The sequence below is a fragment of the Homo sapiens genome, chromosome 3 (assembly GCF_000001405.40).
Source record: "Homo sapiens chromosome 3, GRCh38.p14 Primary Assembly".
Lineage (NCBI taxonomy): Eukaryota > Metazoa > Chordata > Mammalia > Primates > Hominidae > Homo > Homo sapiens.
In genome coordinates this window covers 189054521-189077749 of record NC_000003.12, presented here as the reverse complement: position 1 = coordinate 189077749, position 23229 = coordinate 189054521, and the positions used below count along the sequence as shown (strand labels likewise).

Sequence of the window (23229 nt, the reverse complement as noted above, 5' to 3'; positions counted from 1 at the left end):
ATCTATACTGAGTGCCTAAAAGGTGTGAAGTGTGAATATTTCCAATCAATAAATACAATCTCTGACTGGATTAAAAGGGTGGAATATATCAATTTCTCTTTAGTTTAGGTATAATTAACATACAGTAAAATGCACAAATTGTTAAGTGTTGAGTTCAATGAATTTTGACAATTTTGTACACCTATATAATCATTCCCGCAACAAAATATTGAATATCTTTATCACCCCAAAAATTCCTTGTGTCTTTTTCCACTCAATCTTTTCTAAAGAGGCAACAAATTTCTGATTTCTATCCCCATAGTTAGTTTTGCCTAACTGTTAGTTAGGCAAACTAACTAACTATTAGTTGCCTAACTATTAGTTAGTTAGTATAGGCAAAAATACAGAAAGTGTGTATTTTTGTTGAATCTGGCTTCATTCAGTTAATATGATGTTTTTGAGATCCACGTTGTTATGTGTAAAAGTAGTTCATTATTTTTAAAGGCTAAGTAATATGACGTTGAATTAATAATATACCATAAACATTGCTGTTTAAATCTTTTGTGGATTTATATTTTCATACATCTTGAGTAAATTCCTAGAAGTGGAACAGCCATGGAGTACATAATTGCTGAACTTTAAAAAACTGCGGAACACTCTCCCATAGTTATGCAGCATTTTCACTCAGAACAGCAATGTAGGAAAGTTCCACTTGCTCCATATCATCACTGGCATTTAATGTTGTCTGTCTTCTTGATTTTAGCCATTTACAATTTATCTTATTGTGGTTTTTATTTTCAATAAGCACTTTCTCATGTGCTTATTGGCTATATATATATATATATATGTACACATATATTCTTTTGTGAAGTGTTTGCCCACTTTTCTGCATATAATGCTATAACTTCTTTTCAAATCTGACTCAATAAATGACAATATTTAGCTATTTATTTGAGAGTTTGGGTATTCATCTGTCATTTCCAGTATAAACAGTGATACATTTGCCTAGGTGGCCCATTAGTATCTTCCTGGAAATTACTGGGCATGTTTTTTTTAGTTACATTATCTTATCACTCCCAGTAATGATCTATGAATTTAAAAAGGGGGAAGGAGAGACCATTAAGCCCAGGGCTTAACAACAGTGTTCCATATGGAACCATTAAACTACTTACTAACCATCTGCTCATGGCGATGAGCCCATTCTGTTTTTATACAAGTATTTTTTTGTAAAAAAAAAAACAGTCTCAGTGACAGATAATACACATATTTTTAAAAGATGATATTCAATCAGCAAAATACAGCTTGCTGAGAATGGAGCATACTAAAGGTGCACTTACAGATCATTAGAACTGCAAGGGAACTTAGAGCCCATCTAAGTCAAACCACTTAATGTTTTAGAAGATAAAACTGAGGGCCAGAGACAACTAATTTCCAAGCCAGGAACCAAACTCTGGTAATTTTACTTACAGCCCAGTGTTCATTTCACCATATCATTATGCATTTGTGAGGAAAAGCGCTCTTTTTTACAGTCTAAATTAGAAAAGAAAGTCCAAACCTATTAGATGTTTAGAAAAAATGCTTAATGGACAAACAAAAGCCAACCAGAAGGCCGCTTGGAGCTACTAAAAATATGAAATCTCAGGCCAAGTATACCTGGATATGAGTCCCAGCCCTTCCACATATTAACCATGTGGCTTGAGACAAGTCGTTTCATCTTAATATTTTAATATCCTCACCTGAAAATTGGGGTTGAAGAAAATAAATATGTTGTTATATTCATAAAGAGAAAAAAAGTATATATTGGGAAGGGGAGTTGAAACAAAGAACCTGAGCGCCTTTGGAGAGAGAAACCAGAAGTGGCAGGTATAGAATAATGGAAGAAAAGTGTTCCATGCAAGACAGGTGAACAAAACTAGGCTGACTGCTTGAAGATAGGGATTTGCTAAGTATGGGGTTATCCCCGTGCATAAAAGGGAGCAGAAAATTAAAAAGTTGCCAATTTTATCCCTGAAGATACAGTTGATGGGAACTGTGGGCTAAGGAAGTGGGACTGTAAAAATACACTCTGATGTGGAACTGACCAAGGCAACTAATTTTCTCTAAAATCACCACAAATCTAAAGCCCCAGAATGCCATTATAAAATCAGACTCAGAACTGGGGATAGGGGGAGATAGTTTCAAGTGCCTAGAGAAATGCAAAATACTGACCAGGGAGAAAAAAGAGACAAAAATAATTTGGCTGACTGACAATGGGCCCATCTACTCAAATTCTAAAACTCATAAAGAAGTCTAGAGTGAGGAAAGACAACCAATGAAGCAAAAAAATCAGAGCATGCACCAGGTGCAGTGGCTCACTCCTGTAAATCCTAGCACTTTGGGAGGCCGAGGTGGGTGGATCACCTGAGGTCAGGAGTTCGAGAACAGCCTGGCCAACATGGTGAAACCCCATCTCTACTAAAAATACAAGAAAATTAGCCGGGCATGGTGGTGCATGCCTGTAATCCCAGCTACTTGGGAGGCGGAGACGGGAGAACCACTTGCACCCGGGAGGCAGAGGTTGCAGTGAGTGGAGATCGTGCCATTGCACTCCAGCCTGGGCAACAGACTGAGACTTCGTCTCAAAAAATAAAAAAAATAATAAAATTTAAAAATCAGAGCATGAATTCGCTCTCTGTAAAACTGATATTAAGGGGTAGGCTGGGGAGGCCGAGGTAGGTGGATCACGAGGTCAGGAGATTGAGACCATCCTGCCTAACACGATGAAACCCTGTCTCTACTAAAAATACAAAAAATTAGCCGGGCGTGGTGGCGGGCGCCTGTAGTCCCAGCTACTCGGGAGGCTGAGGCAGGAGAATGGCGGGAACCCGGGAGGCGGAGCTTGCAGTGAGCGGAGATCGCGCCACTGCACTCCAGCCTGGGCGACAGAGCGAGACTCCGTCTCAAGAAAAAAAAAAAGGTAGGCTGACAGACTTTAAAATAAGGATATTAGTGTACTCAAAGTGATAAATGATGAAATAACATAAAAGATTCAAAGATATTTTAAAAAGCATAATTAATGAAAGAATATATGGATATAACAATAAGATCAATAAATAAGCATAGTTGATCAATAAAAGAACACAGTTAAAGAAAGAACAGCACAGGGAAAAAGAAATAAAAACATGAAAGAATGATTAAGAAGCATAGAGAATAAACTAAGATGCTCTAACCTACATCTAATATGAGTTCCAGAAAGAGTTTCCAAACGTAAAAAAGAAAACAATTCTGGGCCGGGCGCGGTGGCTCACACCTGTAATCCCAGCACTTGGGAGGCCGACGCGGGCAGATCACGAGGTCAGGAGATCGAGACCATCCTGGCTAACACGGTGAAACCCCATCTCTACTAAAAATACAAAAAATTAGCCGGGCGTAGTGGCGGGCGCCTGTAGTCCCAGCTACTCAAGAAGCTGAGGCAGGAAAATGGCGCGAAACCTGGAGGCAGAGCTTGCAATGAGCGCAGATCGCGCCACTGCACTCCAGCCTGGGTGACAGAGCGAGACTCCACGTCAAAAAAAAAAAAAAAAAAAAAAAAGGAAAATAATTCCTCAGAATTAAAAAAAACTCCAAACGCCAACATGAATTAATAAAGAAAAATCTACACCAAATCTATACAGCAGCCCATCTTGATGAATCTGAAAAACTTCAAGGACAAAGAGAAAGGCCAAATTCTACAACTAACAACCGTTATTTGATGGCCGACTTCTCATCAGCACCAATAGCTTCCAAAAACTAATAAAGGAGTTCACAACTTGAATCAACAGTTTCAATTAAACTGTCATTCAAAAGTGAGGGTAAGAATACATGAAATAATACAGAGTAATTTCTAAAATATGTTGATAACCATAAAAAGTAAAAATACAAGAGAATATTGGTAGCATACATGCTATTTGAATAAAAATAGAAGCATACATATTACTTCTGTATATATTGTGCATGAGAAAGAAGAAAAAAAGTCATTTTTCCTAAAAGAAACATTGAAAGGATAAACCAAAAAATAATAAAATTGCTCACCTACAGGGGTGTATAAAGAATAAGGGAGAATGTGACACTTTTCTGAGCACATTGTTTTTGTAATGTTTTGACATATAGAATTATCATAATGATCTACATATTCAAAACAAAATTAAATCAACGAGCATGAGAAAGAAAACACTAAAACCAAGTACAAACAGAAAAAAATGAACATAAGAGTGTTTTAGATAAATTTAAGCACACTAAATGGGAAAAAAAGATACCTATTCAAATAACTTAGTTCTCTACTTTATCTATATACCTTTCATCCAAAGGGGCGAAAAAAAGAACTACAAACAAATCTTGAATACTCGTAATTGATTTGTGTTTATAGTGTCATGAGAGTAATAACACTGAAAGAACTTTGTATGTGTCTGTGTTAACAGGACCGAACAAAAGAGCAAATATACAGATATCCCTGGAAGCCAGAGTTCTTGGAAGGAAGAAATACACATACAGAATGGGAGAAGGCAAGGAAAAACCCTGTAAGGTTGGGATGCATTCAGAGAAATAGAAACTTCTGATTCCATATAGGTATCTATTTCCTAGGTCTGTCTATGAAAGCTCTTAAAACAGTGCACTCACATAGAAATGAACACATCTAGTACCCAGATCTCAGTTTCTAAATGCTATTCCCACTAAACAAACCAGTACTCATTGTGGAAATAGCTACTAATTCAATTCAATAACTGGGGCAGGGAAAGCACAAGATAAGATCATCATCTTGTTGTGCCAAAGAGTAAGAAAGTGTCTTAAAAACTTGGGAAGCATATAACAATACACAGAAGCATGCTTGAAGGGGCTCCCACTTTGATATCTGGGACGATGTGAGTAAGGAAATTAATGAGAACTGTTGTAGATTATAAACAATTAAACATAATAAATTCCATGAGTCCCTACTAATAAAAATTACATAGACAGATAAATGATGGATGGATGGATGGATGGACGAATTGATTGATAGAGAGATATAAAGAGAACGATAGGCAAGAAACAACCAATGGATCTTGGGTAGAGGAAGGTAGTTTTATAAAAAATACTTGCAAAATCTAAAAGCATATCACTACAAATTACTTATAAAGAAAAAAGAAAAAAGTGGAGAAACTGAACACTTGCAACCAAGTGATCTAAATTAACATTACCAATGAAGGGCACACAGACATATTGTGCCTCTGGATGTATGCCCCATGAAAAATAAAATATCACCTGTGGAGTACACTAGCCATAAAGGGATAATTTCCATTTTATCATAAAAAATATAAAAAATATCCACATTGAGAAACAATAGTCAAAATATCTGAGCTTTGTTTTTCAAAATTATCAATAATATAAAAAACAAAGAACAGCTGAATATGGTTCCTAATTAAAGGAAAGTAAAGAAACATGACACCTAAATGCAATTCATGACTCTAGATTGGATTCTTAAACTGGGGCAGGAGATAATAGTCATAAAGCATACTATGGGAAAACTGACAGTTCTGGAATATGATCTGTAGGTCAAATGTTATATGAATGTTAAATTGCTTCAAGACATTGATGAAAGAAGGGAAATCCTTAAATGATGGGCCCATTTATTATGCCTGCTCCTCCATATGTTTTAGAATCAAGTTCAGTGAGAACATAAAATGTTCCTTTTTTTCTCCATCATCACTATCAAGTCAGCCTGACAAAGGCCCAGTATGGCCAACATTTCACATTCCCTGATTACTACTTCTCAACTAAATGAGGCTTAGCTTTACTGTCCATGCATATACCAAGAAGGACAGAGATGATACCATGCTGTAAGTCTACAGTTTTCCCGAACCCAGCTCTGCAGAGACTACTTTAAAGAGATCTAGGTGCTGATTTTATTTGTGGGAACCAAAGCTCCATTGAAGTGAACACACAAGCTAATTAGCAGATTTCGAACCTTAGAAACCTTCATTATATTATAATCCTACATCATCTTTTGAAGCTCAAACAAAATGTAACTCTGCTCATTAATCGTTGGCAGTAAGTGCATCATCTCTGCCTTTGAATACCCTCAGGCTAATGATATGCTGAAAGGTGTCAGGCAGAGGATGACTCATAATGGTAGTTTTTGCTGGAGCTATTACTCTGTATGCACACACATATACCACTGTAAATGACTTTTTCTGTACCTGTGTGCTTGCCTCTTTCAATTGCATGTGTGTGTGTCTGTGTGTGTACAGATGCATACTGATGCTTATAGGTGTAAGTTCATGCCTCTGTGCAAGTGTGTGGACACCTCTGTGTCTGTGTGGATAAATACCTCTGCATTGCTGTGCTACTTTGTGTGTGTGTGTGTGTGTAAAACTCATACACTACTAAGTATAAAATGGATGAACAATGTATTTATAAGGATCTCTTTAATGGTAAGTGACATTAAACTAAACTAAAAGTTGTTTAAGGAAAAAGGAAATTTATTGGCTTATTTAACAGAAATATTTAGGGTTAGCTTTAAGTTCCCACATGGAAAAGGAAAAATTGGAACCACCCACACATAGTGATGGCTGGTCCCCTGCATATATCAATTCTGCTGAGCAGGAATAACAGGATTCTCTGCCCTGGTGACCAGAGTCTGCTTTGGGCACCTGGTCTGGGGACCTTCACTGAGCTGTTTCTAAGGCATTCCTTTTTTTTTTTTTTTTTTCTTTTTCTTTGGCTTTTAGTTTCTTTGCTTCCAGGCAATTCCTGGGGTAAGTAACAAAGCCAGAAGTTTCATCAAGTCACCATATTTAAACCCAGAAACAAATCTGAGAATTTCTATTTTCAATCAACAGGCCTTCCTTCATCCCCTCAACCCTCAGCTTTGTGGCCTCTATCTTGGACTGTCAAAGGCCAGTTTAAACAATGGTCACACAGAGATTCACACTTCTCGCAAGCCCCAACTCAATCTCCTGCCATGTTTTTCAGGTAATTGCCTTTGCTCCTACTAACTTTAGATTGGTTGGAATATCTCCTTTTCAATAATGTAAGATTCTGGAATACCTAGATGCTCAGCTATCTTAGATTTCAAGCTGTAGCCACGAAGAATTTTTTTAATAAAACTGTCGTATTGTTCTCTTTCTCTCTCTTTCTTACTATACGTTGATTTAAATTTTTATTGAAATCATTTGGATTCAAATGCAATTGTGAGAAATAATACATATATCCTTAAGAAACCTTACCCAGTTTCTCCAGTGGTAACATTTTGCAAAACTATACTATCATAGCACAATCAGGATATTGACATTGATACGAACTGGCAATCGTAATCAAATATCCCCAGAGAAGGGGACTTATACTTATTTTTATGCACATTCATGAGTGTGTGTGTTTAGTTCTATTCAATTTTATTACATGTATAGGTTCATATAGCCATCACCACAGACAAGGTACTGAACAGTTCCCTCATCCAAGGGTTCCTTGTGTTGACCTTTCATAATGATACTCACCCCTCTCCTGCCTATACCTCTTTCATCACGACTCCCTGGCAACCACTTATTTGTCCTCCATTTCTAACATTTTGTCATTTCATAAGCGTTATATAAATTAAATCATACAGTATGTAACTTGAAATTATTTCTGTCAGTCGAATTCACTGGACATTCTTCCAAGCAGTGTGTATTTCTTATTGTTTTTCCTTTTTTTCTTTTTTTGAAATGGAGTCTCGCTCTGTCACCAGGCTGGAGTGCAGTGGCGTGATCTCTGCTCACTGCAACCTCCACCTCCCAGGTTCAACCGATTCTCCTGCCTCAGCCTCCCGAGTAGCTGGGACTACAGACACGTGGCACCACCACATCCAGCTAATTTTTGTGTTTTTAGTGGAGACAGGGTTTCACCATGTTGGCCAGGATGGTCTCGATCTCTTGACCTCGTGCTGGTATTACAGGTATGAGCCACCACGCCCAGCCTGTTTTTCCTTTGTATTGTGGAGTAGTATTCCATAGTATGTATGTTCCTCAGTTTGTTTAACTACTTACCTGTTGAAGCACATCTAGGCTATTTCTAGATTGGGGCTATTATGAAGAAAGTTGCTATGAACATGTGTATACATTTTGTGGGAATGTCAGTTGTCATTTCTCTGGACTAAATGCCCAAGACTGAAATTTCTGGGTCATGTGGTATTTGCAAGGGCTTTTCTTTTTTTATTAAACATTTTTGTTTTAGATCATTATACCTTTAGATGCAACTGTAAAAAATAATATAGATAAATACCATGTACCCTTTATCCAGTCTCCCCCAAAAGTAAGATCTTAAACTATCTATCGTACAATATCACAACCAAGATTTTGACATTGATACAGTCAAGATACAGAACAGTTCCATCACCGAAAGAATCTCTCATGTTTCCCTTTTTGCTGTACTCACTGTCGTCTGGCCCACTCCTACCTTTATCCCTGGTAACCATTAACCTGTTCTCCATTTCTAAAAGTATGTATTTTAAAGAAAGTTGTTTAAATGGAATTATAAAATATAACTTCTGGAATTGGCTTTTTTCCTTCAGTCACCATAATTCTCTTAAGATTTATCCAGGCTGTTGTACACATGGGAAGTTAGCGATTTTTTCATTGCTGAGCAGTAATTCATGATATAGATGTAACAATTTGTTTAGCTATTCACCCACTGAGTGACATCTGAATTGTTTCCAGTTTTGGCTATTATGAATAAAGCATCTATAAATATTCATATACAGGTTTTTGTGTAAACATAGGTCTTCATTTCTCTGAATAAATGCCCATCTGGTAACCTTCATTCTACTCTCTACCTTCATGAATCCAATTGTTTTAACGTTTAGCTTCCACAAATGAGTGGAAAATGCTAAGTTTGTCTTTCTGTCCCTTGCTTATTTTACTTAACATAATGTTCTCCAGTTCTCTCCACGTTGTTGCAAATGATGGAAACTTGTCCTCCCTCCTCCCTCCTCCCTCCCTCCCTTCCTTCCTTCCTTTTTCTCTTTTTTGAGACAGAGTTTCGCACTATCATCCGGGCTGGAGTGCAGTGGCACAATCTCGGCTCACCGCAACCTCCGCCTCCCAGGTTTGAGCGATTCTCCTGCCTCAACCTCCTGAGTACCTGGGATTACAGGCGACCGCCACCACGCCTGGCTAATTTTTTATATTTTTAGTAGAGACGGGGTTTCACTATGTTGGCCAGGCTGATCTCAAACGCTTGACCTAGTGATCCACCCACCTTGGCCTCCCAAAGTGCTGGGATTACAGGCGTGAGCCACTGCGTCCAGCCAAGAATCTTGTTCTTTTTTATGGCTGACTAGTACTCTGTTGTGTATATGTACCATCTTTTTTTAATCCATTCATCTGTTGATGGACACTTAGGTTGATTCCAAATCCTGGCTATTGCAAATAGCGCATGTTGTGAGTGCAATTATCTCTTCAACATACGGATTTCATTTCCTTTAGATATCTACCCAGCAGTGGCATTGCTGAATCATCTGGTAGTTTTATTTTTAGTTTTCTGAGGAACCACCATACTGTTCTCTATAGTGGCTCTACTAATTTACATTTCTATCAAATGTGTATGACAGTTACTTTTTCTCCACATTCTTGCCAGCAATTGCCTCTTTTGGATAAAAGTCACTTTAACTGGAGTGAGATGATATCTCACGGTGGTTTTGAATTACATTTCTCTGCTGATAAATGATATTGAGCACCTTTTCATATACCTGTTGGCCATTTGTACGTCTTCATTTGAGAAAAGTCTATTCAGATCTTTTGTCCATTTTCTAATCAGATTATTAGATTTTTCCCTATTGAGTTGTTTGAGCTCCTTTTATATTCTGGATAGTAATCCCTTGTCAGCCAGATAGATTGCAAATATTTTCTCCTGTTCCGTGGGTTGTCTTTTTGTCGATTGTTTCCTTTGTTGTGCAGAAGCTTTTTAACTTGATATGATTCCACATGTCCATTTTTGCTTTGACTACCTGTGCTTATGGGTTGTTACTCAAGAAATCTTTGCCCAGACCAATGTCCTAGAGAGTTTCCCCAATGTTTTCCTTTAGTAGTTTCATAGCTTGAGGTCTTACATTTAAGCCTTCAATCCATTTTGATTTGATTTTTTTTACATATGTGAAGAGATAGGGCTCTAGCTTCATCCTTCTGCATATGGATATCCAGTTTTCCCACCACCACTTACTTAAGAGACTGTCTTTTCCCCCGTGTATTTTCTCGATACCTTTGTTGAGAAAGAGTTCACTGCAGATGTGTGAATTTGTTTCTGGGTTCTCTGTCCTGTTCCATTGATCTATGTTTCTATTTTTATGCCAGTACCATGCTGTTTTGGTTACTATAGCTCTGTAGTATAATTAGAGGTCAGGTAATGTGATTTCTCCAGTTTTGTTCTTTTTGCTTAGGACAGACTTGTCTATTCTGGGCATTTTGTGGTTCCATATAAATTTTAGGATTATTTTTTCTATTTCTGAAGAATGTAATTTGTATTTTGATAGAGATTGCACTGAATCTATAGATTGCTTTGGGTAGTATGAACATTATAACAATATTGATGCCTCCAATCCATGAATATGGAATATTTTTCCACTTTTTGTATTCTTTTCAATTTCTTGCATCAATGTTTTATAGTTTTTATTGTAGAGATCTTTCACTTCTTTGGTTAAGTTTATTCCTAGGTATTTTGTTTTATTTGTAACTATTGTAAATAGGATTACTTTCCTGATTTCTTTTTTCAGATTGCTCACTCTTGACATATAGAAATGCTACTAAATTTTGTAGGTGGATTTTTATATTCTGCAACTTTACTGAATCTGTTTATGAGTTCTAATAGTTTTTTGGTGGAGTCTTTAGGTTTTTCCAAATGATAGATTGTATCATCCACAAAGAAGGATAATTTGACTTCTTCCTCTCAAATTTGGATGCCTTTTCTGTTTTTTTCTCTCATTTTGTTGCTCTAGCTAGGACTTCCAGTGCTATGTTGAATAACTGGGGAAAGGGGCATTCTTGTCTTGTTCCAGATCTAATATGAAAGGCTTTCAGTTTTTCCCCATTTAGTATAATACTAGCTGTGGATCTGTTGTATATGGCTTTTATTGTATTGAGGCATGTTTCTTCTATAGCCAGTTTTTTTTTTTTAAGGTTTTTATCATGAAGGGATGTTAAATTGTATCAAACGCTTTTTCAGCATCAATTGAAATGGTCATATGTTGTACTTCATTCTGCTGATATGATGTATCATATTGATTTATTTTTGCATTTTTTGGAGCATCCTTGCATCCCTGGGTTGAATCCCACTTGGTCATGATGAAATATCTTTTTAATGTATTGTCGAAGTCAGTTTGCTAGTATTATATTAAGAATTTCTGCTCAATGTTTATTAGCGATATTGGCCTGTAGTTTTCTTTTTTGTAATGTTCTTTGTCTGGTTTGGGTATCAGGGTAATACTGGCCTTGTTGAATGAGTTTGGAAATATTCTCTTATCCTCTATTTATTGAAATAGTTTAAGTAGGATTGATATTAGTTCTTCTTTAAATATTTGGTAGAATTCAGCAATGAAGCAATTGGGTCCCAGGGTTTCCTTTGCTCGGAGACTTTTACTATGGCATTGATCTGTTACTTGTTATTCATCTATTCAGGTTTTGCATTTCTTCATGGCTTAAACTTGGTAGGCTGTATGTGTCTAAGAATTTACCCACTTCTAGGTTTCCAATTTATTGGCATATAGTTGCTCATAGTAGTCTATAATGATCCTTTGAATTTCTGCAGTATCAGCTGCAATGTCCAATTTTTGTGTTTTAATCTTATATCCTGCAAAGTTGATGAATTCATTTATTAGTTCTAGGATTCTTTTTCTTTAGATTCCTTGGGATTTTTATTAAGATAATCATGTCATCTTCAAAAAATTATAGTTTTATTCCTTCCTTTCCAATCTGTGTGCCTTTTTTTTTCTTAGCTTACTGCAGTAGCTAGAGCGCCAGTACTCTATTGAATAAGAGTAGTATTAAAGACATCCTTGCCTTGTTCTCAGACTTAGGAGGAAAGCATTTAGTCTTGGACCAATAAGTATGATATTAGCTACAGTTTTTTTGTAGATGTTCATATCAAGTCATAGTAATTCCTATTTATAACTTGCTAAATGTTTTTATCCTGATAAATGTTTGATATTGTGAAATATTTTTTCTGCATCAATTGATATCATCATTGCCTTTTTTTTTTAGCTTTTGGACATGGTATATTACATGAATGATTTTTGAGTGTTAAGTCACTTTTCTATACCTGAAATAAATCTGTTGTTCATGATCTATAATTCTTTTTAAATATTGTTAGATAGGGATTGTTAATATTTTGTTTAAAATGTTTACATCTAAAATCATGAGGGATACAAGTCTGTGACTTTCTTTCTTTGTACTGTCTTTGTTTGGTATTGGTATCAGAGTACTACTGGTCTCATAAAATAAGGTAATAAGTGTTTCCTCTCTATTCTCTGGAAGAAATTGTGCAAAATTTGTGTTAATGCTCCTTTAAATGTTTGGTATTATTCTTTAGTAAAATCATTTTGGTCTCAAAATGGTATTTTTTTACTTCTTTTTTTTTAAGAGACAGTCTAGCTCTGTTACCCAGAATCAAGTGTACTAGCATAATTTTAGCTCACTGCAGCCTTGAGTTCCTGGGCTTCAGCAAGCCTCTTGTTTCAACCTCTTGAGTAGCTGTGCGCCAACACATACAGCTAATTTTCAAACTTTTTGTAGAGATGGAGTCTCACCTTGTTGTCCAAGCTGGTCTCAAACTCCTAATCTCAAGCAATCCTCCCATCTCAACCTCTCAAAGCACTGGGATTACAGGTGTGAGCCACTGTGGCCAACCTTGAGATTTCTTAATTATTAGTTTTTAAATTATTAATCCAATTTTGTAATGATTCTAAGACAACTTACATTATCTATTTCAACTTGTTTGAGTTTTTGTGGTGTCTAATTTTTTAGGAATTTGTGTATTTTTTTAGTTGTTGAATTTATAGCACATAAAGCTTTTCACAGTATTCTCTAATTAGCAATGTAATGGCTGCAGCATCTATCATAATATCCTCTATTTCATTCCTGATATTAGGGATGTCATCTCACTTTTTATTTTTACTAGTATTGTTAGAGATTATTGATTTTACTGACTTTTTTGAAGAATCAGCTTTTGCTTTCATTAACTTTGTCTATCATTTCTCATTTTAAATCTTATTAATTTCTGCTATAATCTTTCTTATTTTTTCTTATGCTTGCTTCGGATGTATTTTGCTTTTTTTCTAATCTTTTGTGAAAGAAATTTAGATTATTGATTTGAATTTTTTTTTCTTGTGTACAGGAAAGCGTTAACCCAGTTGTCCTGAGTTGCTCCAACTTTGCAGTTCTCAAGAAAGCCCTATTCTGTGGTGAGGCCTTAAACAGTTCTTGGGAATTGAGATCTTGGAATGTTCTAACTTCTAGGAATGCTTTAAACACTTGGGACCTTGAGCCATATTATGCCAGGCTTTCTAAATAGTTTGTATGAGGAATGTGATTTATGAACAAACTCATTTCCTTTGGGGACCTGGATCTTCAGCAACTGTAGTCAGTCCTACGGATACTATATCCCTATGTAACCAACCCACAATGAAAATTGTGAACTTATAGGCTTAGACAAGTCTCTGTAATAGACAAAACTTTACATGCACCTTCACAATTTATTCTTGGAAGAATTAAGTGCATCTTATGTGTATTAAGTGTATTTTCTAGTGACTCCACTAGAAGAATATTCTTAGAAGCTTGTGCCTGATTTTCTCCAAACGTTACCCATACACCTTTTCTCTTCACTGATTTTTCTTGGGACCCTTTACTATAATAAACCACAATCATGAGTATAATGACTTCTAAGTCCTAAAAGCTCTTCTAATAAAATCACCAAAACAGGAGTGGTCTTGGGGACCTCCAAAACACTTTGCTTCTAGAGTAAGTTTTTACTGCTATAAATTTCCCTCTCAGGACTGCTTTAGATGCATCCCATATGTTTTGACACATTATTGTTTCAATTTAATTTGGTTTTGTATATGTATTAAATGTCCTTTGAGATTTCCTTTTTGACCAATAAAGTATTTAGAAGTATGTTGCTTAATTCCCACATATTTTGAGAATTTCCTGTAGACTTTATTTATTTCTAGTTTGATTCCATTGTAGTCAGAGAAAACACACTGTATGATTTCAGTTCTTATAAATTTGTTGAGGTATATTTTATGGCTCAGAATATGGAATATATAACTGAATGTTAAATGGGCACTTGAAAAAAAGTTTATTCTGCTATTGTGTGGAGTTTTTACATATGTCGTTTAGATACTATTGGTGAATAATTGTGTGGTTCATATCTTTTAAGTATTTTCTGATTTACTGTCTAGGAGTTCTAGGAGTTCTATCAGTTGCTGAAAGGTAATGCTGAAGTACTGAATTATAACTGTAGATTTACCTATTTCTCCTTGCAAATCTATCAGTTTTTGCTTTATGCATTTTGAAGCTCTGTTTTTTGGTGTGTACATTTAGAATTACTACCTCTTCCTAGTAAGTTGATCCTTTTATTATTATGTAATGTGACTTTTTCTCTAGTAATTTTCTTTGCTCTGAAGTCCACTTTATTAGATATTAATACACCACACCTGCATTTTTGCTTAAAGTTTGCATGGTAAATTTTTTCTATTCCTTTATTTTCAATCCACCCATATCATTGAATTTAAAGTGAATTTCTTGTAATCAGTATATCATTGGGTCTTTTTTGTTCACTCTACCAATCTCTTTCTTTGATTGATGTATTCAGATAATTTATATTTAAGATAATTTTTGATATGTTGGTACTGAAGCCTAGTATTTTATTGTTTGTTTTCTATTTCATCTGGTTCTTGTTACTCTGTTACTCTTTTATTGCCTTCCTGTGGGTTATATGAAAATTTCTTATTATTCTATTTTGATTTATTTATAGTATTTCTCAGAGTATTTCTTTGTACAGCTTTTGTAGTTTTTTGTGGGGTGGGGATATTACAACATATACATATGGCTTATTATATGGCTTATCACATTCTACTGGCATCAACATTTCAGACATGGAATCCTCCCTTTAATTTAGGTCCATTTTCCTTCTCCACTTTTAAATATCATTGAATGTCAGATGGTAAGAGAATTTTTATTTCAGTGATCAATTATGATTTATAAAACTCATGAGGGGAAGGATAGTCCATTGTATGTACTCATATTTCTGCTATTTTTTTGTTCCTTCTTTCTTCCTAACAGTCCAAAAAAATTATCATTTTCTTTTTTTAAAGTTTTATTTTAGGTTCAGGGATACATATTCAGGTTTGACATATAGTTAAACTCATGTCGCCAGGGTTTGTTGTACAGATTATTTCATCACCCAGGTATTAAGCCTAGTATCCAATAGTTATTTTCTCTGATCCTCTTCCTCCTCAGTCCTCTACCCTCAAGTAGTCCCCAGTATCTGTTGTTCCCTTCTTTGTGTTCACAGGTCCTCGTCATTTAGCTCCTACTTACAAGCGAGAACACGTGGTATTTGACTTTCTCTTCCTGCATTAGTTTGCTAAGGATAATAGCCTCCAGCTCCATCCATGTTCCCACAAAAGACATGATCTTGTTCTTTTATATGGCTGCACAGTATAACATGGTGTATAGGTACCACATTTTCTTTATCTAATCTGTCATTGGTGGGCATTTAAGTTGATTCCATGTCTTTGCTATTGTGAATAGTGCTGCAGTGAACATTCACAGGCATGTGTCTTTATGGTAGAATGATTTATATTCCTCTAGGTGTATACCCAGTAATGGGATTACTGGGTCAAGTGGCAGTTCTGTTTTTAATTCTTTGTGGAATTGCCCCACTGCTTTCCATAATGATTGAACTAATTTACACTCCACCACCAGTGTATAAATGTTCCTGTTTCTCCACAACCTTACTATCATCTGTTACTTTTTGACTTTTTATAAATAGCCAGTCTGACTGGCATGAGATGGCATCTCGTTGTGGTTTTGATTGGCATTTCTCTAATGATCAGTAATATTGTGCTTTTTAAATATGCTTGTTGGCCACATGTATGTCTTCTCTTGAAAAGTGTCTGTTCATGTATTTTGCCCACTTTTTAATGTGATTGTTTGTTTTTTTCTTGTGAATTTAAGTTCCCTATAGCTGCTGGATATTAGACCTTTGTCAGATGCAATGTTTGCAAATATTGTCTCACATTCTGTACATTGTCTGTTTACTCTGTTAATAGCTTCTTTTGCTGTGCAATAGCTCTTTAGCTTACTTAGATCTCATTTGTCAATTTTTGCTTTTGTTGAAATTGCTTTTGGCATTTTTGTCATGAAATATTTGCCTATTCCTATGTCTAGAATGATATTGCCCAGTTTGTCTAGGGGTGTTTTATAGTTTGGGGTTTTACATTTAAGTCTTTAAGCCATCTTGAGTTAATTTTTGTATATGGTGGAAGGAGTCCAGCTTCAATCTTCTGCATATGGCTATCCAGTTCTCCAAACACCGTTTATTGAACAAGGAGTCTTTTCCTCATTGCTTGTTTTTGTCAGCAATGTCAAAGATCAAATGGTTGTGAATGTGTGGCCTTATTTCTGGGCTTTCTATTCTGTTTCACTGGTCTATGTGCCTATTTTCATACCAGTATCATGCTGTTCAGGTTACTGTAGCCCTATAGTATAATTTGAAGTTGGGTAATGTGATGCTTTTGGCTTTGTTCTTTTGGCTTAGGATTGCCTTTGCTATTCAGGCTCTTTTTTGGTTCCATATGAATTTTTAAATAGTTTTTTTCTAGTTCTGTGAAGAATGTCATGGGTACTTTGAGAGGAGTAGTGTTGAATCCGTACAATGCTTTGGGCAGTATGGCCATTTTCATGGTATTGATTCTTCCTATCCATGACCATGGGATGATTTTCCATATGTTTGTGTTATCTCTAATTTCTTTGAGCAGAGTTTCAAAATTCTCATTGTAGAGATATTTTACCTTTCTGGTTAGCTGTATTCCTAGGTATTTTATTCTTTTTTGTGGCAACTGTGAATGGGATTGCCTTCCTGATTTGGCTCTCATCTTGGCTGTAGTTAGTATATAGGAATGTTAACAATTTTTGCACATTGATTTTATGTCCTGAAACTTTATTGAAGTTATTTATCAGCTTAAGGAGCTTTTGAACCAATACTATGGGGTTTTCTAGATATAGAATGATGTCTTCCACAAACAGGGATAGTTTTACTTCCTCTCTTCCAATTTGGATGCTGTTTATTTCTTTCTCTTACCTGATTCCTCTGGCCAAGACTTCCAATACTATGTTGAAAAGGAGTGGTGAGAGAGGGCATACTTGTCTTGTGTCAGTTTTCAAGAGGAATGCTTCCAGCTTTTCTCCATTCAGTATGATGTTGGCTGTGGCTTTGTCATAGATGGCCCTTATTATTTTGAGGTATGTTCCTTCAAAACCTAGTTTATTGAGTTTTTTGTTTGTTTCTTTGTTTGTTTTTGAGACGGATTTTCGCTCTTGTTGCCCAGGCTGGAGTGCAATGGCGCAATCTCAGCTCACCACAACCTCTGCCTCCCAGGTTCAAGTGATTTTCCTGCCTCAGCCTCCTGAAAAGCTGGGATTACAGGCATGCGCCACCACACCCGGCTAATTTTGTATTTTTAGTAGAGACTGGGTTTCTCCAGGTTGGTCAGGTTGGTCTCAAACTCCAGACCTCAGGTGATCCACCCACTTCGGTCTCCCAAAGTGCTGGGCTTACAGGCGTAAGCCACCACACTCAGCCAAGAGTTTTTAACATGAAGGAATGTTGAATTTTATTGAAAGCCTTTTCTGCATCTATTGAGACAATCATGCAGCTTTTGTCTTTATTATGTGATGAATCACATTTATTGATTTGTATGTGTTGAATCAACCTTGCATCCTGGGGATGAAGCCTACTTGATCTATATTACCTTTCATTCCAGACTATCAAGGTTTGAATCCCAGCTATATAACTACTATTTATGTGATTTTAAGAAAATTACTTAACCTCACTATGCCTCAGTTTTTTCATGTTTAAAACTGAAACAAAAATATTGACTATCTCACAGACCTTTTTTTTTTCCTTTGTTTTTTTCATTTTGTTTTTGTTTTTGTTTTTTTAAGATGGAGTCTTGCTCTGTCGCTCAGGCTGGAGTGCAGTGGCGCGATCTCAGCTCACTGCAACCTCCACCTCTTGGGTTCAAGCGGTTCTCTTGCCTCAGCCTCTCAAGTAGCTGGGACTACAGGCGCATGCCACCACACCCAGCTAATTTTTTGTATTTTTAGTAGAGACGGGGTTTCACCATGTTAGCCAGGATGGTCTTCATCTCCTGACCTCCTGATCCACCCGCCTCAGCCTCCCAAAGTGCTGGGATTACAGGCATGAGCCACTGCACCTGGCCTTCTCACAGACTTTTTCTAAGATTTAATTGAGTTAATATTTGTGAAGTACTTAAGAACTGTGTCTGGCACAGAAAGTGCTTGGAAAATATTAGTTATTCTTACTGTCTTACTTGGAAACTTGGGACTACTTCATGTCATCCTCAAAACAATCCTATGAATTAGATATTATTATTTAAATTTTAGACATCAGGAAACTGAGGCTCGCTAGGGTAAATAACTTGCCCAATATCACAGAACTAGCAAGCAACGGAGCCAGAACTGCTACTACTCTGCCCTGGGACACCCTAATGACTTTTGGAGCCTCAGTGCTAGTGCTAAGAGGGGCAGAACTAGATATGCTTACAGAAAGGACCCCATCTAAATGAAAATTCCTCAGTTTGCTCGATCTTGCTTGCTGGTATCTGTGCATGTGGGACGTTTTCAATGCTTCTAAGTATGCCTTATAGTTAATATATTTTGAGGTCCATTCCATCAATTCAGCCTGAGCAGCAAAAGCATAAAGCATTCAACTCTCCTTCAGCCCCAGCGATAAAGGCTGAGTGTGTATTCTAAATACAGCTGTTGTAAGTTAGTCACATACTGGGTAAATTAGCCCCACAGACAACCCACTGCTTTCCTAAGGAAGCATCAGCTTTAAGAAACCAGCATTAACAATTATTTTTCTTAAAACAATTTCATGATGCATACCTCTTTGTTAGCACCCTTCTTTGTGGAGACTATATTAATTCTAACAGCGCCTTGACTTTTCCGAATCCCTTGATCCAATGACTTGTTTTGTGGGCCCCACAAAGGGTAGATACACAGTTATAAATATAAAGAATAAAGCAGAATTAATTAGGTTGTGTGTTTGGTGCCATTTTATAGAAACCAGCTAACATTTTCACTTTCCGCCTATTACTGTGTCAATTGAGGCCAAACTACAATTGTGGAGACTTTCTGTGTACCGACGTTACACTCCTGAGTACAAAGAAAATAATCTATTGATAAACATGTCAGAGATGGATTTAAGGAGAGCAAAGCTTTGGATGATGAAAAGATCCCAGAGTGCAATGTTGACACTTCAGCTCTAACACATATTTACATTACTTGTCATCGCTGGGACCTCGCTCTTCCTAAGTGTGATATGTGATTGGGGACATAACTGATGATCTCCAAGGCCCCTTTCTTGCTGACAGTCTATGAGTACAAACTCACTCTACAGGTAGTGGATATCCCAGCCCAAATTGGCTTCAATTAACTCACTATGCAGAGGAAGATGGTGGAGGTCCAGAAAAAATCCTGACATATACATACTGTCATGTTAATATTCAGCATAATATATACACAACCTACAATATATGTACATACAACATATATATACACACAATATATACTTATATATTCATATATACAAGATATATACGTGTGTATATATGTGTATACGTATATATATATACACACATACGTATGTGTGTATATATATACACACATACATATGTGTGTATATATATACACACATATATATACATACATACCCATAAATATACATATATGTATATGTGTGTGTATATATATATATATGTATATATATACTAATAGAAATATGAACCATGGTTCCAAAATTAGAATAATGCCCTCTTGTCTCCTATTAGTGAGTCATTTACTTCTGGTGTTTTATTCCATGTTTTTGTTTCAACATGAAGTTTGTCCACATCTATTAACACTTCTCTCCTGGGAGAGCAGTCAAACAGAGAAAAGTGTCTGAAGAATTTTTAGAAAGTGATGGGGTTGTAGAAAAGAGCCCACAGAATGTGTAAAAAAAAAAAAAAAGCAATCAGGGCTCTGTAAGAAGCAAATCCTCTTGCACGTGTCTCCTTATTACCATCTCTGATGATTTTTCTTCCTTTTATTGCCTTTTGTCTAGACAAAATAAAATTGCAGGAGGTTTACAAAATGATTTTCAATCTAAAAATCTTCTCTTTCATGTTACAGCCCAGAGGGAATATTTTCTACTTTAGTGATTCAGACCTGAAGAAATAGTGTACCAATGCAAACGTGAGCAAGCACCTCATGGCTGAAGCATACATCATGTGCTGGCAACACAAGCCATAAGCCCAGGGCCTCAAATGCCACTGTGTATGAAACAATTTTGGATTCACTCACTGATTCCCAAGGAAGATTTTCTCACTCAGCCTGTGCTGTGTTCCCAGAAACTCCCCAATCCTAACGGGCCCTAGAGAGCTTAGAGAAAGCATGATAGATGTGATGTCAAGCCATTAATTTAGCAATGCTTCAAGGGGAAGCAAGAGTGATTAATTTTTACACTTCAGAAATTATCCTCAGGGGGAAGTGAGTTCAAGATGCAGTTGGAAGAGCACTGGATGTACAGTGGAAAAAAAATCATATGAACTTGGGGATGTATATCATCTTCAATCGTGACATAGTACTGAGGCTTTCCAAAGCACCAGCCATCATTTTGATTAGTAGCCTAAGACATTACAGTCCCAAAGGAGTAGGTGTGAACAAGAGTAAAAACTGAAAACCCCACCCTGCTGCAGTATCATGGATTCAATCTGTTCATCTGTCTGCACTGAGAGATTCTTGTAACCACTCCAGTTAGCATCATCTGAACCCCTACCATGTTCAAAAACCTATACTAGGCACTTTCATGGGGGAATCTAACATGATTCTTGACCTCAAGGAACTTGTAAACTGGCAGGGGAATTAGTACATGAGTATAAATAATTATGATTAAGAGGAAAATGGTGTAATCATGGAGAGATTGATTACTTTGATTGGCAGGGAGACTTGAAGTTCTTTTCATTCATTTACTCAACATTTATTGAGGCCTATTTATTGGGTCCTGTACTCTGCCTGGTAGGAATCACACACAAATAAGGGGGAGAGAAAACAAACAGCAAAAATACCTCTGCTAGGCTGGGCATGGTGGCTCATGCCTGTAATCTCAACACTTTGGGAGGCAGAGGTGGGTAGGTCACTTGAGGTCAGGAGTTCAAGACAAACCTGGCCAACATGGCAAAACCCCGTCTCTACTGAAAATACAAAAATTAGCTGGGCATGATGGCATGTGCCTGTAATCCCAGCTAATTGGGAGACTGAGGCATGAGACTCGCTTGGACCCGGGAGGCAGAGGTTGCGGTGACCCAAGATCTTGCCATGCTCTCCAGCCTGGGCAATGGAATGAGACTCTCTCTCAGAAAAGAAAGAGGGAAGGAAGGAAGGAAGGAAGGAAGGAAGGAAGGAAGGAAGGAAGGAAGGAAGGAAGGAAGGAAGGAAGGGAGGGAGGGAAGGGAGGGAGGGAGAGAGAGATCCTCATACAAGAGGTGACATTGAAGCAGAGTAAGAAAGAGCAAATGGACAGGGAAGAGAGGGCCACTGCAGGCAGAAGAAACAGCATATAGAAAGGTAGGAGACTGGAAGGTAAGGGAAAAGCAGAGCAGTGAGAGAGGTTTTGGAGCCAGATCATAATGGGTGTAGTACTCTACCCTCTATGCCTGGAAAGGAACTGTATGGGTCAGTATCAGGACTCCACACATATTCCCTTGGACCTCATTACCAATTTCATGAACGCTAGCTTTGGGTGGAATTTTACTCCTGAAAACTAGCACCTGCCATCTCTTTGTTGGGAGGGCTGTTCTCAAATGGCCAGAAACTGTTTGCCTACACAGTCAGAGAATAAGAAGTGTCTGATATGTTACATATTCCCATCCACAACCCAGCCCTCTGGTCAGGAAGATGGAGAGTTTCCTTTAACAAATGACTGGTGAGTGAGGAATATAAATGTTCTAGCTCCCCTGCACCTTGGTTGGGACAAATTTTTGGGACTACCTACACGCTTCCCAAAACTTCCCTGTGAATCAGAGCCTGAGTGGGCCCTTGCGGACCTCTGGTTGATAGCGTACTCTGACTTGGCCTCCTTTTCTATTGGTTCCACTTCGCTATTACTCTACAAGTTATTCTTGGGAACATTTCCTTAAAATTCAATTTCACATGGATTTTTGCCTCAGGGTCTGCTTCTGAGGATCAAAACCTAAGCTAGGAACAGTAGAAGGTCTTTGGAAAGAAGAGGAAATAAGAGATAACACTAGAAGAAAGACAGTGGTACTTTTAGACTGGGCATTAAGAGATCTCTTCTAACTACCTGGGGACCTTAGAAAAGGATCTCATATTTCTAGCCTAAGTGTTCATAGACAAAACTTTTAATTTAGCCAGGAGAAACTCTACAACTAAATACTAGGTAGCATTTTATTCAAACAGATAGTTTAGTTAGAGAAAAACTGTACACACATACCTCATTTTAATGCACTCCACTTTATTGCACTTTGCAGATGGTGCATTTTTTACAATCTGAAGGTTTGTGGCAACTCTGCATTGAGCAAGTCTATTGGCACCATCTTTCCACCAGCACATGCTTACTTCGTTTCTCTGTGTCACATTTTTGTAATTCTCAAACTATTTTAAACATTTTTTCATTGTCATTATTATCCTATCTGTTATGGTTATATATAATCAGTGATTTTTGTTTTTTAAGAGACAGTGTTTCACTCTGTCACCCAGGCTGGAGTGCAGTCACGCAATCATAGCTCACCATAACCTCTACCCTGGGCTCAAGTGATCCTCTCACTCAGCCTCCCCAGTAGCTAGGACTACAGATGGGTACCACCACACCCGGCTTTTGTGTGTGTGCATCTGTGGGTGTGTGTGTGTAGACATTGTTGTCTTACTATGTTGTCCAGGCTGGTCTCAAACTCCTAGCCCTGAGGAGTTTGCCATTTAAATTTGTCATTTT

The 23229-nt window shown here is 37.0% G+C and overlaps 1 protein-coding gene and 1 long non-coding RNA gene across 3 annotated transcripts in view; one reads left to right on the top strand and one right to left on the bottom strand.

Moving 5' to 3' along the window:
- Positions 1 to 13870, top strand: part of LOC107986167 (uncharacterized) — a 37180-nt gene extending 23310 nt beyond the window's left edge. Inside the window, exons 3-5 of the long non-coding RNA XR_007096249.1 lie at positions 4416 to 4514; positions 6813 to 6945; positions 13330 to 13870. This is a non-coding gene — a long non-coding RNA (uncharacterized LOC107986167). The remainder of the gene's footprint in view (positions 1 to 4415; positions 4515 to 6812; positions 6946 to 13329) is intronic.
- The window catches only part of TPRG1 (tumor protein p63 regulated 1), a 328078-nt gene that overhangs the window by 247555 nt on the left and 57294 nt on the right, over positions 1 to 23229 (bottom strand). The window lies entirely within an intron of this gene.